Source organism: Homo sapiens, chromosome 7, assembly GCF_000001405.40.
Source record: "Homo sapiens chromosome 7, GRCh38.p14 Primary Assembly".
Lineage (NCBI taxonomy): Eukaryota > Metazoa > Chordata > Mammalia > Primates > Hominidae > Homo > Homo sapiens.
The window spans coordinates 50441201-50457765 of record NC_000007.14 but is presented as its reverse complement, the minus strand read 5'-3'; the positions used below and the strand labels follow the sequence as shown (position 1 = coordinate 50457765).

The 16565-nt window shown below is 41.2% G+C and overlaps 1 protein-coding gene across 21 annotated transcripts, besides 3 other annotated features; it reads left to right on the top strand.

Annotated features, from left to right (window-relative positions):
• Positions 7270-7459: a silencer, noted in NCBI's record as "silent region_18183". NCBI's record gives its function as "represses an Ori minimal core promoter by ATAC-STARR-seq in GM12878 lymphoblastoid cells {active_cell/tissue: GM12878}" and the evidence as "EXISTENCE:reporter gene assay evidence [ECO:0000049][PMID:35858748]".
• FIGNL1 (fidgetin like 1) lies at positions 7416-13633 on the top strand. 21 transcript variants are annotated; one of them, NM_001346559.3, is made up of 6 exons: positions 7416-7465; positions 8043-8266; positions 9477-9585; positions 9711-9798; positions 10469-10634; positions 10750-13633. In NM_001346559.3, exon 6 carries the CDS (start codon positions 10812-10814, stop codon positions 12501-12503), a length of 1692 nt encoding a protein of 563 aa, NP_001333488.1. In that variant the 5' UTR covers positions 7416-7465; positions 8043-8266; positions 9477-9585; positions 9711-9798; positions 10469-10634; positions 10750-10811; the 3' UTR covers positions 12504-13633. The 21 variants fall into 21 exon arrangements, with proteins under 21 accessions (NP_001333488.1, NP_001333487.1, XP_024302633.1 ...); NM_001346558.3 differs by having other exon boundaries at positions 8043-8648; XM_024446865.2 differs by having other exon boundaries at positions 8043-8187; positions 10469-13633.
• Positions 7601-7895: a silencer, noted in NCBI's record as "tiled region #9826; HepG2 Repressive DNase matched - State 1:Tss, and K562 Repressive non-DNase unmatched - State 1:Tss". NCBI's record gives its function as "represses a minimal TATA promoter and a strong SV40 promoter by Sharpr-MPRA in HepG2 and K562 cells {active_cell/tissue: HepG2 | K562}" and the evidence as "EXISTENCE:reporter gene assay evidence [ECO:0000049][PMID:27701403]".
• Positions 10216-11415: an enhancer, noted in NCBI's record as "CDK7 strongly-dependent group 2 enhancer chr7:50514049-50515248 (GRCh37/hg19 assembly coordinates)". NCBI's record gives its function as "activates an origin of replication core promoter dependent on BRD2, BRD4, P300/CBP, MED14 and CDK7 cofactors, with strong dependence on CDK7, by STARR-seq in HCT116 cells {active_cell/tissue: HCT116}" and the evidence as "EXISTENCE:reporter gene assay evidence [ECO:0000049][PMID:35650434]".

Sequence of the window (16565 nt, the reverse complement as noted above, 5' to 3'; positions counted from 1 at the left end):
AGTCAGGTCATTTGTTCTCTACTCAACAGCAAACAAGACCTGTTCTCCATCATGATGTGGGGACAGAGGCTGTGTTTTTGGGGCCCACCAGGGGCCACCCTTGATAGGACCAGTGGAGTGTGGAGTACTCAGGTTGAGTTGAGGCTGGGATGTCTAAATTTTACAAGATTATTTTTCAGCCCGTGAGTTAAGATTGCTGCAAGGGCTCCAGTGTGAGCCACCAACATCATTGATACCAGCTCTCTGCTTTAGTGGGCTCATCCAGCCTCATCCACAAATATACTTCAGAAAGATGGCTGAGACCTGATGGGAGGGAGGAGACTGGGTGGCAGGGGCCAACGGGGATGCTGTACAGAAGCAGGGCAGGAGGCCAGCAAGTGACTGAAGATTTCCTCCCTCCGAACTGGCTGGATCCTTTTGATGGAGAGTCTAAGACATCAGCTTAGACACAGACCCAACAGAGAGAAAAGCTTGTCTGATTTCTCGCTCATTTCTAGGTAACTCATAGCAGTTCACCCCACCTCCTGACTTCTCCAGGTTCCTCCATAAAGTGGTTCTCAGATCTGAATCCCCCAGCCCTAGAAACAGGAAGAATAACTTCCTCCCAGTTTATTTAACAAGAACACACCCATAGCACTTGCTGTATGCCAGGCACTGTTACACGTGTTTTAAAGTATTAATTTAATACTTATTTTAAAATTCTACGATGCGGGCTCAATTATTATGCTCATTTTACAAGTGAGAAAACTGAGGCATTGCAAGGTTTAGTGATTTATCCCAAGGTCATATAATCAGTGACCAAGCTGGGATTGGAGCCCAGTCAGCCTGGCTCTAGAATCCATGCTCTTGCCCAGTAAACTATGCTGCAAAAGATGCCATCTGCTACCCAGGATTAACCATTTCTGAAGGTAACTGGCAGTGAAGACATTTATTCTCTTCTGGGTAAAGCCCTATCTTTGCCTACCAAGGTAAAGTCTTGGACCCTAGACCATCCCTAGGGGGCCCCTAGACCCCACATCCAATGTGGGGAAGTTTTTAAAGTTTTGGATTATTCAGACTAATCTGTGGTCAATACAGAGCATCTTTATTTAAATACATATTCAAGTTAGTGTCAAAAAGAGTGCACAAAGTGCTGCTGGCACTGGAATTAGATGTTTCCTTACTGACCTCTGGTATCTCCTGATAACAGGCCCCTCCTGCTTAGTGTTGGGAAAGTCCCAGATTGATCTAGACACAACTAACAGCTGATATGAAAGATTTGTCCTGGAATCACATGTCTCCTCTCTAAAATCCAGCAAACAGCAATACTCCCTAAACCTGGAGAATCTCATTGTTGCTGACCACATGCCCATCACCAAGGAGCCTGCAGGAAAGCCCAAGACAAAAAGGGGAGCAGGTGTCACTGGGTGGCCCCTTGATCATCATGAGGGTGTGCCACAGTTCAAAGAGAAACAAGAGAGGAGAAGACCCCAAGGGAGGGCAGTTCTAATATCCACTGACTCCACACCCGCACCCCTTAATTCAGAAATCCAACAGACATGACAAATTAGAAACTGATTCTGCTGGTATGCAATTCAGAAAGTCTACATTTGAGGAAAGATATGAACATTGACTAACGGCTTTTTTATCTAGGGATCATTTCATTGCTTTTCTAAATTATGTAAATATCCAAACGTCAAACACTATAATTTTTTTTTGCCTTTTCAACTGCATTTGATATCAAAATCTATTTCCTTAATACCTCTGGGTTACTTGCCATAACTTACACTTGTAATAAGTAGTAGAAAAAAATTAATAAGAAAGCACTGTGAGTGTAAGTTGCTTGCATAAACTGGATACATCTGGAGCTACCAATTTAGAGAAACTTGTGAATGGTTCCCCAGAGCACAGATGTGCAGTGGATGGTAGAGGAAAGAGGAAGAAGATAACAGAGCAGGCTGTATTGCAGCAGACCTTGTGAATCCCAAAGTGCTCCAATGTGGAAGTGAGATCTAGACCCCAGGATTTATGAGATGGATGTGTCCCCAGGTGTTGTGAGAGAGGAGCCAAGTCACACAGGAAGAGTTCTAAATGGAAGGGTGTCTCACAGGACAGACTCAAAGAGGACTCAGCAGCTGTCTTCACATTTTACACTCCCTTTAATTTGAAGAGTCTCCTCTCTAGCTCCAAAGACAAAGTGAAAGAGACAGATTTTCAATACAAAGAAAAACTTAGAAGTCAGCCTATCAGCAAGTGGAAGGTGTTTTCTTACAGGGCAGTGAATTCTCCATTGTAGGTGCTCAAATGGAGATAGGAAAAAACCAAGAGTTGGGACATCGGAAAGTCAGTCTTCTATGAGACTGACTTTTCAGTCCATGAGATTGGACTGAAAATTAGAAAATTCTTCAGCTTCCTTGTATATCTGAGATTCCAATGTCCTGTGAAAATAAGAGAATTTGGCTACTTTATGAAACAGCAAGGTTAAGCAGCCTAAAAACAGTAGAAAAAAACACCAACAAGGTGGGTTATTTTTTCCTTCCCAAACTCTAAGCAAGGAAACCTAAGAGGAAGAACTGGCCAGCCCAGCCATAATAACACCTGGCACCTGGGCAGTGCTTACCGTGGGCGAGGCTCCGGTCTAAATGATCTTCAGACCTCAGCTGGGTTGATTCTGAACAATTCTCAGTAGTGGCTCCTGAGCAGTGGAGCTAGGACTTGAACCCTGGAAAGCTGACTCCATAGCCCCTGCTCTTAATCACTCCACCCCTGCCGCAGTGCTGTAAGAATGCAGGGCATTCGTTTCCTGTGGCTGCTGGAACAATGGACGGCAGTCTCAGTGTCTTCAAATAACATAAACGTGTTCTCTCACAGTTCTGGAGGCAGAAACTGAAATCGAGGTGTTGGCAGGGCCATGCTGTCTACAAAGTCCAGCTGTTGGTAACCCAGACATTCCTTGGCTTGTGACAGCATCACTCCAATCTCTGCCCCCATCTTCACATGGCCTTCTTCCCTCTGTGACTCTTTTCCTTTTCTTTATAAGGACACCAATCAATCAGATGAGGGCCCACCCTAATCCAGAAGGACCTCATCTTAACTGGATTATGGCTGTAACAACCCTCTTTCCAAATAAGGCCACATTCACAGGTGCCAGGGGTTAGGGCTTCAACATATCTGTTTGGGGGATGCAATTCAACCCCTTACATACTGTACCAAACTGGAGGCACCTAGAAGTGTTGACTCCAATTGGTAGCGCAGTCCTTGAGGAAAATGACGACCCAAGCAAATGTTTCCTTCAATCTCTGCTCTACCCCGTTTCAGGTGCTATAGAAAAATTACGGGAGGGCATTGTTTTAGAGTGAGCTCCTGCACTAGGTCCCAACAGACCAAACTAAAGTGGAGTCACTCATGCTAAGTGCCATTTAACCAAGCTGAAACTTTAAGAAAGCTGGTGGTCCCCAAATAGACCAGTTTTTCTTGAAAACAAGAGTCACAGCAACCCATCAGAAAGAGTTCAGTCTGCCTGAGTCAGAGTAATAAGGAAGTCCCATTTGCTTTAACCATGACGAGAAAAGTAGTCTGAATTAAGCTGACACTAACCAATCAACCTTTAAAATAATACTGTTTCCTTGTTCCCACCTTACAAAACCACTGTTCTGCCATTCCCCAGTGGGAACTCTAATTCTATTTTATAGAATGGAGGCTACTGGATTCATGAATCATGAATAAAAGCCAATTTGATCTGTAAATAATTTTGTCTTTTGACACCAGGAGAACACCACCTCCCCCCTCACCAGCTGTGTTTATGACAATGATGCCAGAGGTAGCCTCTTCACATCCCTTTATGATTCATTCAGTATGGCCAATGAAAATCTTTTACTAAAATTGTGCACTTGCTTCACCCTGGGCTCACACATCTTACTCCTCTGCTGGAGGGCTAGAACACCATCCCCTCAATCCTGGTACTTTTTTCTTCCTTACCACTGAGTCAGGGAGCTGAGAGGTTTGGAAGTCAGTGGGAATCCACACAGAGAAAGAACTGGATTTAGATTGGGCTGTTTTCCCTCTGAGCTTTGTCCTGTTGGCTTCCCTATCTCCTCAACACCACCTGCCTCCCGCACCCACCGACACACACATCTCCAGAATGTAACTCTCCTGGCTGACAGGGAAGCACATTATTTAGGGCCGTATTATCCCCTCTGCTCAAAAACAAATGAGCTCACCGAAGTGTACACTTGCATTTATCTGAGACCATGTTTATAAAATTCATGAATATGGAAATGGGCAGCCATCTCCCAGAATCCCTCACACCAAGAGAACTGGCACTGTCTGCTGTAGGTGAAAACCTCTTCCCTTGAAGGCTCAACAACTTCTACCCAGAAGAAGAAAAGAACAGCATATTCTTTCTCATACACACACACAAACACACACACACACACACACGCACACAGTATATACCACCAGTCTGTGGTCTTGGAAGCAAAGTTTAATAATTGAATAGCTCAAGCACTAAACTCTTACATATTATTAAGATACTATCCTAATATGTCTCATTTGTCAAAGATGGAAAAGTTTTGATATGACATAAGGGTTTCAATCCCAATAGGAATATTAATGGTAACAATAAAAATAACATAGCAACACGGTTTCTGTTGAATGCCTGCCACATGCCAGCAACTGCTTTGATAATTAAAGAATTATATCTTATGTTGATTATAATCCTTATAATGGCTTCCTGGGTAAGAAAGGTTTATTACTGTTTTACATTTGAGGAGGAGACTAGGGTTCAGAGAGGGTGCAGAAGTGAGTTACACTTTTGCCAACCAGGCCAGAAGATGAAAGCCGCTGGATTGGGAAATGCTTTTGTATCAAAAGCACAAAATGAAGTGGCTAGTGTTACTTGTTGGAAAAAAATTAACTTTGGCAAGCATAAATATAATTCAGTATTTGAGCAATACTTTTAGGAGGGTAACAGAGTGGTTTATGTGAATTCTCCAAAATGCCATCATGAAAATTTTGATGATGAAAATCACCTAAAATTGCTAATTACCTGTCTTAGCCTGTCTAGGGCTACAAAGTACCATATGCTGAGTGGCTCATAAACAATAGAAATTTATTTCTCACAGTGGAGGCTGGAAGTCAGAGTGCCAGAATGGTCGAGTTCTGGTGAGGGCTCTTCCAGGTTGCTGTCAACTCTTTGCATCCTTAGGTGGTGGCAAGAGGGCTAGAAAGTTCTTTGGAGTCTCTTTTATTGTATTTTATTTTTTGGAGACAGTCTCACTCCGTCCCCCAGGCTGGAGTGCAGTGGCGCGATCTCAGTTCACTGCAACCTCCACCTCCTGGGTTCAAGCAATTCTCAGGCCTCAGCCTCCTAAGTAGCTGGGATTACAGGTGCCCACCACAACACCTGGCTAATTTTTGTATTTTTAGTAGAGACAGGGTTTTGCCATGTTGGCCAGGCTGGTCTCGAACTCCTGACCCCAGGCGATCCACCTGCCTCGGCCTCCCAAAGTGCTGGGATTACAGGCATGAGACACTGCACCCAGCCTCTGGAGTCTCTTTTATAAGGATACTTACTATTCTCATCCATGAAGTCTCCACTCTCATGACCTAATCACCTCACAAAGGCCCCGCCCCTTAAAACCATCACATTGGGCTTAGGATTTCAACATACAAATTTTGGGGGGACATAAACTTTCCATCCCTAACATTACCCAAATAGTATCTATATAGTCATTTCTAAATATACACGTATTTAGAAATTTCTAAATAGCCAGTAAACATACAACTGACTTGGCCTTGATATAACTGTTTTCATTTTCTTTTATTTTCATTCTACATGACATATTTTGGGTAATTATAAAATAATTAAAATTAGTTGATAAAGTATGGAATTAGAATAAAATAATTTTCTATTACTATCTAAGCCATGAAATGAATTAGGAGATGCTGTTTTCAGTGAAACGTCTTCTAGTTTTTAAAGTGCATTGTCCAATTCCTTTTTATTTTGTGAAGATTTTAAAAACTTAAAAAAAGTCTTCAAATTGTTTGTGCCTTGCATTTCTTTAAATCTTATGTTTAAACATCATGTGCTGCTAGTTGCTAGTCATTTTCTCTATCCCCTGCCCCAGACCCTCTCTTTCTCAGGAAAGGATATCCAGGGATCCGGGTCCCAGTTAGTCAAGGAGATATAAGAGGAAGGCTATGAGGCTTTCTGGGAAACATTTTCTTTTTCCAAGAGAGAAGTGTTCAGAGGGAAAAGGTCCTTTCTCAGTTTGGCTCCCTCTTTGTGTTTTAGATCTGGTCATGTGAGGCTGCCTGGCTTGGATTGTGAGGGCATCTCTCGACAATGAAGTGACAAGCCTGGGGAGGAAAATCCACAGGCGAGAAGGTGGCAGAATGGAGAGATGGTCCTTCATGACTTCTTTGAGTCACCAGGTCCAGATTTCCCGCCAACCTCCAGTCTTCTTGTTATGTGATCTGATATCATTATTTACTGCAGAGGCCACTGAGTGGATGCTCTTACTTGTGTCTGAAAATCCAATTCACTAAATTAATCAAAATACGGCACTCTTCTTTTGAAACCTTGCTCCAGAACAAAGTGGAAGGTAATGATGGGGTGCTTTTCAAAGTTCCAGGGAGGTGTCCCTACACAGCAGACAGCTGTCCAAAGGAATGTAGATGTTGGCTGCGGGGAGATCTGAGTTGCCAGACTCAGTCAGAACAGGTGTCCTCTCCCTTATTTTATCTTAAACATGCATGTCATTTTTGCATGCTACTCTATGCGGTTCTTTCAGCCAGGGAACATTGCTGAGCACCCGCTCACGTGCTGTATGGAGCGCAGACTGCAGGGTGCGAGGGGCGGAGGTGATGTGCTAGGCCTGAATTCAAGAGGGGGCGCAGCCACAGGCCCCGCGATGCCGGGGTGGCCTCTTGTAACGACGTTTTAACCGCTGACCTAAGTGGATCCGCTCCTCTCCCGCCGCCCGCTCCCTGCCTGCAGCACAGGATGGCGGCTGGCTTTCCCGAGTGGGCGCAGGTGAGCCACGCTTGCTCTCCCGGGTGGGCGCAGGTGAGCCATTGTTTGCTCTCCCGGGTGGGCGCAGGAGAGCCACGCTTTGCTCTCCCAGGTGAGCCGCCGCTCGCTGTCCCGGTGAGGGGAAGTGAGCCACGCTCTATGGGAATCCTTCGAATCTTCATTCAATTTCCATCGCCTCCTTGTATTTATTTGGGAGTACTTTTAAAAATGAAGCCTATGCACAATGATGTAATAAGCGTTTATAGAACACCACTGGTCGGAGCTAGGGCCTAGGTGGCGGTGCCCGGGCCCAGGTGCCGCGCCCACGCCCCGCGCGCCGAACGCACGCACGCACGCACTCACGCACTCACGCACGCACGTACGGCGCGAGTCCGAGGGCGACAGCAGCGCGCAGGCGCACGTCAGTCCCCGCGCTTTTCGGAGGCTGCCAGCGTCCCACACCAGCCGCAGGTAGGATGCGGTGACGGGAGGCGGGGCAGGGGCGCTGCTGACCCCTGTGGAGCATCAGGGTTGGGGCGTAGGGGAGAGGCGGGCGTGTGCCTCTGGAATGCTGGGGGTCGCGGGGCGGTGACTTCGCGGGAGGCCGTGGGAGGCGGGAGCCAGGCAGTGGCTGTGCCCTTTTGCTTCTGTCTTAGCGGGAGGGTGGCTGACCCGCTAGCCCAGAACCAGACTCATCCAGGATTAGGAAGCTGGGGCCCGGCGTGGACGGCAGGCTCGGGGCCAGGTCTGCGGGCGGCTTCCTTTGGCAGAGCCTGTCCGGGGGCGGGGCCGCTTACCGCAGGCATTTACTGGGCCCAGCGGGGCTCTGGGCGCCCACAGCGGGGGTCAGTCAGTTCCCCTGTGACCCAGGCAAGCTCTTAATCTCTGTGATGAGAAAGAAGGGCTCATACCTTTCAGGGGTCATCGTGAGGAATCAGAAGAAGCAGTATTTTATAGAGTATTTTCTAAGTGCTGAGTCCTCTGTCTAGTGCTTTGCAGAATTAAAATACCTTGTCAGCTCAGTGATGTTGCTGCGCTTCTTTTATAGGTGAAAACCGGCAGAAAGACATTAAGAGATTTTCCTGCAGTCACTGCTGGCAGATGATAGAGCCAGGATTTGAAAGCAGGCAGCCTGGCTCCAGACCCTGTGCTCTTAACTCCCGTTTTGCATCAAGAACAGAATCCTATGAAAGGCTTGCACAGTGCTTGGTACTGAGTAGGCACTCCGTCAGTATTTTAGTAGCTATTATTCCAAAGGACACTGTATTCTAGGTACTAAGACAATGTGAATGGAATGGAAAACAATTCCTCCCTGCAGAAGCCAACTGTCTAGGAAGACAGATAATGACATTATTAAAATAATCAGAACATTGGCAAAATAAAGAAGATTGAAATGCAGTTCATATGACAGTGCTAATTAATCATACTTTTTAGATCTAGGAAAGGCCATAAAGGTTAAATTGACTTGGAAATGGTAAACAAGACAATGGTTGTGTCACTGATCGGTGATGGCCAGTTTTTGGTTATCCTTATTTGCCATTTAAATGATTGAATTGAAAGGAAGAAGTAAGACTTGGAAGATGAATATTGAAGGAAAGGTGAAGATGGAAAAGAGAAGGGGGTTTATTCTGAGAACAGTGACTAGAACTCTGAGGTATGGTAGAAATTTCAGGATAACAGATGATAAAGGGGAATGAAGCCATGGAGAGGAAGAGAATGATAATATTAATTGTGAAAGTTTGTGTCAAGTGTTTTCTGAGTCACCTTTCTTTCAGTTTCTCATTTCTAGTATTGTATAAATGAGTTTAACATCAAAATGGTATAGTGAAAAAAAGGATGAACTGCTTGACAGAAGAGGTCAGATCTAGTTTTGACTCTAGCTTATTTAGCTTTACAGCTTTAAATAAATTACAGTGTCTTTAAAGCTCTGGATCTTAAGTTTTCTAATTGTTTTTTAAACAAAGATTTGTGAACACCTACTTACAATGTGACAAATGTCTTTGTAAGGCATTATGGGAGATAAAAGCTGCATTAAACCTGGCTGTTGTACTTACAAGTAATTTGGAAGGCAAAATTTCAAATACTTGAACCTAAAGTAGGGTTTCTTGGTTTTCATTTAATTGAAATACTGTTAGGAAACAAAAATTTTTCATAAATTTTTCTTGTGGATATGTAAGTAAATTCTATATATCTAGCAATATGATACATCTATAGTTCTGTTTAAAGGTAACAATGTGAGGAAGCTTATGCGAATAACTTGACAGAAGAAATCTAAAGTAAAAGCATTTTCCTAGTAGGCTAGCTTGTTCTCTTATTTCATTTATTGTAACAGTTTCACTTTTTAATAATTATGTGAAATTAGGAAACAGATATTCTAGGGCATTCTGTTTAGGGTGATGAACTTATTCATGAATGTTATTAAAACCATTTAAATATGCCATAGTTTAAATTTGTGATCCATGCTGTTCAATCTGTGACCTAGGATAGCAGCATCAAGGAGCATTGTGTACATGCAGAAGTGCACAGTACCTGGAGTGAAACTGCTTGTGTTCGATTTCTGATACCATTCATAACTGGCTGTGTGATCTCAAGTAAGTTCTTTAAGTCTCTCAGCCTCGGTTTGTACATTTGTGTGATAAGGATAATGATAGTTTTCAGATTATTTTCATAGTCATTGCTTGATTTGATTCTTCCAATGGTTCCTCTCACTTTGCAGATAAGAAAACTGAAGAACCAGCTGGGCGCGGTAGCTCACGCCTGTAATCCCAGCACTTTGGGAGGCTGAGGCGGGTGGATTACCTGAGGTCAGGAGTTCAAGACCAGCCTGACTAACATGGCGAAACCCCATCTCTACTAAAAATATAAAAATTATCCAGGGGTGGTGGCAGGTGCCTGTAATCCCAGCTACTTGGGAAGCTGGGGCAGGAGAAGCACTTGAACCCGCGAGGTGGAGGTTGCAGTGAGCTGAGAGCGCCACTGCCCTCCAGCAGCCTGGGTGACAGAGCGAGACACTGTCTCAAAAAAAAATAATAATAAAATAAAAATAAACCATCAGTGATAGTAAAAAGCTCACTTAAGCTCATTCACCTAGTTTTATAGATCAGACTTAAACCTCTTGTTTATTTTGTTTTGCTTTATGTATCTATAGTTCCATTGTTTTTAAAATTTAAAATTAATTTTAAACCTTATGAATGCTTTCCCTACAGATAAAATTATGTAACTAGAACAATTTAACTCATATAAATTATTATTTAATCAAGTCCTTAATTTTGAAGACTTCATATTGATATGTCTTGAATACTTGAAATCTATAGTTAACTAGATATTTCTCTTATAACCTGTCCTTATAAATCTACATTATAAATAAAAAGTCCAGTGTCCCTTCCTTCAGATTAGCAGAAGTTTCAAAATTACATTTAAAGTATTTTCTTTGTTTTCCTTCATACTGATTTTCATTTTTATTGTTTGTTATAGAACCTCTAAAATGCAGACCTCCAGCTCTAGATCTGTGCACCTGAGTGAATGGCAGAAGAATTACTTCGCAATTACATCTGGCATATGTACCGGACCGAAGGCAGATGCATACCGTGCACAGATATTACGCATTCAGTATGCATGGGCAAACTCTGAGATTTCCCAGGTCTGTGCTACCAAACTGTTCAAAAAATATGCAGAGAAATATTCTGCAATTATTGATTCTGACAATGTTGAATCTGGGTTGAATAATTATGCAGAAAACATTTTAACTTTGGCAGGATCTCAACAAACAGATAGTGACAAGTGGCAGTCTGGATTGTCAATAAATAATGTTTTCAAAATGAGTAGTGTACAGAAGATGATGCAAGCTGGCAAAAAATTCAAAGACTCTCTGTTGGAACCTGCTCTTGCATCAGTGGTAATCCATAAGGAGGCCACTGTCTTTGATCTTCCTAAATTTAGTGTTTGTGGTAGTTCTCAAGAGAGTGACTCATTACCTAACTCAGCTCATGATCGAGACCGGACCCAAGACTTCCCGGAGAGCAATCGTTTGAAACTCCTTCAGAATGCCCAGCCACCTATGGTGACTAACACTGCTAGGACTTGTCCTACATTCTCAGCACCTGTAGGTGAGTCAGCTACTGCAAAATTCCATGTCACACCATTGTTTGGAAATGTCAAAAAGGAAAATCACAGCTCTGCAAAAGAAAACATAGGACTTAATGTGTTCTTATCTAACCAGTCTTGTTTTCCTGCTGCCTGTGAAAATCCACAGAGGAAGTCTTTTTATGGTTCTGGCACCATTGATGCACTTTCCAATCCAATACTGAATAAGGCTTGTAGTAAAACAGAAGATAATGGCCCAAAGGAGGATAGCAGCCTGCCTACATTTAAAACTGCAAAAGAACAATTATGGGTAGATCAGCAAAAAAAGTACCACCAACCTCAGCGTGCATCAGGGTCTTCATATGGTGGTGTAAAAAAGTCTCTAGGAGCTAGTAGATCCCGAGGGATACTTGGAAAGTTTGTTCCTCCTATACCCAAGCAAGATGGGGGAGAGCAGAATGGAGGAATGCAATGTAAGCCTTATGGGGCAGGACCTACAGAACCAGCACATCCAGTTGATGAGCGTCTGAAGAACTTGGAGCCAAAGATGATTGAACTTATTATGAATGAGATTATGGATCATGGACCTCCAGTAAATTGGGAAGATATTGCAGGAGTAGAATTTGCTAAAGCCACCATAAAGGAAATAGTTGTGTGGCCCATGTTGAGGCCAGACATCTTTACTGGTTTAAGGGGACCCCCTAAAGGAATTTTGCTCTTTGGTCCTCCTGGGACTGGTAAAACTCTAATTGGCAAGTGCATTGCTAGTCAGTCTGGGGCAACATTCTTTAGCATCTCTGCTTCATCCTTAACTTCTAAATGGGTAGGTGAGGGGGAGAAAATGGTCCGTGCATTGTTTGCTGTTGCAAGGTGTCAGCAACCAGCTGTGATATTTATTGACGAAATTGATTCCTTGTTATCTCAACGGGGAGATGGTGAGCATGAATCTTCTAGAAGGATAAAAACAGAATTTTTAGTTCAATTAGATGGAGCAACAACATCTTCTGAAGATCGTATCCTAGTGGTGGGAGCAACAAATCGGCCACAAGAAATTGATGAGGCTGCCCGGAGAAGATTGGTGAAAAGGCTTTATATTCCCCTCCCAGAAGCTTCAGCCAGGAAACAGATAGTAATTAATCTAATGTCCAAAGAGCAGTGTTGCCTCAGTGAAGAAGAAATTGAACAGATTGTACAGCAGTCTGATGCGTTTTCAGGAGCAGACATGACACAGCTTTGCAGGGAGGCTTCTCTTGGTCCTATTCGCAGTTTACAAACTGCTGACATTGCTACCATAACACCGGATCAAGTTCGACCCATAGCTTACATTGATTTTGAAAATGCTTTTAGAACTGTGCGACCTAGTGTTTCTCCAAAAGATTTAGAGCTTTATGAAAACTGGAACAAAACTTTTGGTTGTGGAAAGTAAGTGGGATACTTGGAATCAAGGCATCTCTGTAGTACAGTCTTCTTTATTTTTTAGCATAGAAAGTTGGGGATGTGTTAATTGTATTTTTAAGAATATATTCTAAGTTCTGTACTTCAAATAATAGCACAGATTTTACATCTGATTGACATAGTGTATGTTAATGTAAGTTTTGCTTTCCAGTGATTACCTGATACGTAAGCCTATTTGAACAAAGTGAGAATGAACTTTTGTTTCTAAGAAGTCTTTATCTTGAAGCTATATAACATGAAAAGTGAGCTCAAATTTTTTTTAGTTGAAGATTACATATAAAGTTGTGTCTGATTAATATTCATCTTTTATTGAAGAAAGTGCCTTCTGATGGCCACATAATTCTTAATGTCAGCTAGTATAATGGTTTACATTTGGACAAAGTATTGCTTAGTGTTATTTAAGTAGATTTAAGATCTCAAAGCTAAAGTGCCAATTTTTACTTTCTTCAGCCAATTTGTTACCTCTTTTATGGTTTTTAATTTTTATCAGGACTAACATTTTCAGAAATAGCAAGGTGTGATCTAGTATTAGATTCACAGAACTGAAAGGTTAATTAAGAATGTTGGTTATTTTCACGGGAGCGTGTGATATTTAACATTAATATTTTATTTGACACTACAGCCTGTAATACTGCTCTCTTTCAAAAACAAGTTTTCAGATTTTTATAACAGACCCATTTTGTTTTATGAAACATGTTCATTACAGAAACATGAGAAAATAGAGATAAGTAAAAAGAATAAAAGTCACTATTATCCTACCACTTTGCGGGACACACTATTAATATTTAAGCATAGATTCTTCCAGATGTTTTGTTTTATACAGCAGTAGGATTGTGTAATGTATTCTCTCTTGTAGCCTATTCTTCAAAGCGTATCTTCACTTTCCATGTTAACATAAATGTCCTTTTATGATTGTCTAGGATTCCATGGATGGATGGAATATAATTGAGTCATCTGGTAGAGCGCATATAGGACAGGACGCTAGGTTGTTTATCTTTTGTTTATTGTAAAGGAACTATGTGGGATGCATTTGGTGATCTTTTTAAAAAATGTATAAATTTCTTGAGTAATTCCTGGATTAAAGAATATGCACTTTTTAAAGCTTTTGGCTTGCATTCTAAATTGTCCTCTTGAAAAAGTAGTTCCTGTGTAAAACTCCATCTGCACTGAATCAGAGCTATGGCAGCATTGGGCAGTAGGCAGTTTTGGTATTTGTTGGCATTCTTTTTGCATTTATTCAAAAAACTGAAGGTAGTGAACGTAGAGCAATGAACAACACAAATATCCTTGGTCTCGTGGAGGTTATATTTAAGTTCTAATGTTTTCTCTTGTGAACAGTGCAATTTGAAATGACAAATTGAAACACTTTTAGTTGTTGAATTTAGACAGTTTGTGTATATAGTTTAAATTTTTATTCTTGGTTTGCCTTCTGTTTTTATGTTAAAAGATTGTTGCAATTTTTAGTTTTTCCCTTTGTAATATGTGATTGTCTTTCATTAGAATTCATTTTTTGTTTTGTTTTGGTTATTTTGAAACAGTCTCGCTGTGTTGCCTAGGCTGGAGTGCAGTGGTGTGATCTCAGCTCACTGCAACCTCTGCCTCCTGGGTTCCAGTGATTCTTGTGCCTCAGTCTCCCTTGTAGCTGAGACCACAGGTTTGCACCACCACACCCAGCTAATTTTTGTATTTTTAATCGAGATGGGGTTTCACCATGTTGCCCAGGCTGCTCTCGAACTCCTGGCCTCAAACGATCCACCCACCTCAGCCTCCTGAAGTGTTGGGATTACAGGCATGAGCCACCACGCCTGGCCTTTTTTATTAGAATTTGGACGTTAAACTTCTTGTCTTCAGTTCTTAGTTATATCTTTTAACATCCTAAAACATTCCACAATATTCATTACTGTCTTTATCCCTTTCTATTTCTATATAAACAGCACTATAAACTTGGTTTCTTTGGTATTGATGTCAAGGAATTCTCTAGTTTTTCTTTCTTGGTGTTTAATTGCAGATCACTCCCACCTTCTTGGGTCTAGCTATTTAGATTTATCAGCATTTGCCCTCTAGCTGTTAATGTTTTATTTAGCTCTGAAATTTGGTCTTAATATTTATTATCAGTTTTTTTCAGTTACAGCTTCTGCCAGCCCTGACTTTAAGCTCCCTTGATCACCAGCCACAGGGCCACTTCTTTCTATGGAGTTTAGAAATTGTGACAAGGAGAGAAAGTCTAGTTGGTTTAGCTCATCTTGGATTAAGCAGAGCCCATGTCTCTCTTGTTAGCTCAAGAAATGGTCTTTCCTGAATTAAGGTCTACTCTGTTAAATAAGAATCTAAACCTGAAAGGAATAGTCAGGATATTTTAAAGCTGGAAAGAAAATTTGAGCTGGGGAGTCAACTGTTGTTTCTACGTTATACCACAGAGAAGCTTTCTTTGTCTCAACACTTTGTGATTTTGAGTGTTTCTGAAGCAGTTGGATAGGAAGCTTACTGAAACTTTAAGATTGCTTACTCTCGCCACATGCGATTGTCTTCATCGAATATAATAATCTTGGATTAAATTATCTCAAGTGTGGCACTGCCCTGTCTTTAGCTATTGTTTCAGAAACATGAATGCTAGCCTGATATTTAATGTCTTCAAAAATTACATTCCCTTAGTAGAAATACACATTTTACTAAACATGTCACTTGGTTATGGTATTAATGCTTAACAATTTTGATATGAATATGGTAATTCTAATTTATGATTTCAGGCCTTCTTAAATCTTTATTATACATCTAATAATAATATATGATCCTTTTGATATGTATTCATTCTGTGGTAAATTTCTAATTTTCTGAAATTTTAACTCATTTTCTCAATTCTAAAATATCTCTCAGGTGTGCCTTTCATATTGACAAGCTGGTCTTAATGGAATCATAGTCTAAAGATCATGGGCTGTGGAGCCAAATAGACCTGTTGAATTCTGGCTCTGTCATTTACTGGTGACTGTTGGTTACTTAATTATTCAATCTCAATTCTAAAGTGAGAATAGTTTATACCTGTCTTGTTGGAGAGTGAGGATTAAATAGTAAAATACAGATTTAAAAGGCCTGGTTCATGTTTTATGATTGTGCCTCTTCTTTGAATCTGCCTTGATTTTGCTCTTGTTGCTGTGAAGGATCTTTTCAGCTATTTTGTGTGGTTGTCCTAGCTCATTCTGCTTAGTGTTTGTGGTATTTGCATCATATTATTAGAGATCATATGCCATCTATCTTTAGTTTTGTGGAAAAATTCTAATTCCAAAGAAATATCTCTTAGTTATGTTTCTCCTTTTCTACACTTTAGAACTTTTTTAAAGGTCTGTCCCAGATTATTATTTTTCTCTACTCATGCTTATATGTTATTTATTGGTCTCCATTTTTACTCTCCCAGTGTTTTTTTAAGGGACACTTTACAGCCCACCTTTAGGGATCTGATTAAAAGAAAGGATTCTATCAAGGTCCATGGCAAAAGGACAGGTTGGATAAAGATAACATCTTTTTACTTCCTTCTTATATTCCTAGTTCTTGACCTTAGTTGGGGAGCTGGTGGTGAGGGAGCACATTTTAAACAGTTTAAGCAGGTGAGGCCATCTTGAAGGTTTGCCCCAGCAGCCTGGGTGAATGGAGGGAGTCTTGGGAGAATAGATAAGATGCAGTCACCACTTTTAACTCTTGCCCTTAAAAAATACTTTTACAACACGGCTTATAATGGAAAGAGCATTAAAATGGACATTAGAAAACTGCCAGTGATTCTAACCTTAGAGAGTTTGTACAGACTCCGTAAGATTTGTTTTTTTAGTGATAAAGGGAAATTGTACTGGTCATTCCTTAATAACACATCCAGATTTCTGTTATCACTTACCAAAAATTTATGAATTTGAGAATTGCTTACACAGTATCAGGTGCTGGGTACTGGGAGGTACAAAACAAAGTATAGTCAGGTAAGGGCTAACTTTATTACTAATTTGGCTCATTATAAAAACAACGGGAAAACATGAAGAGAGGGCTTTATTAA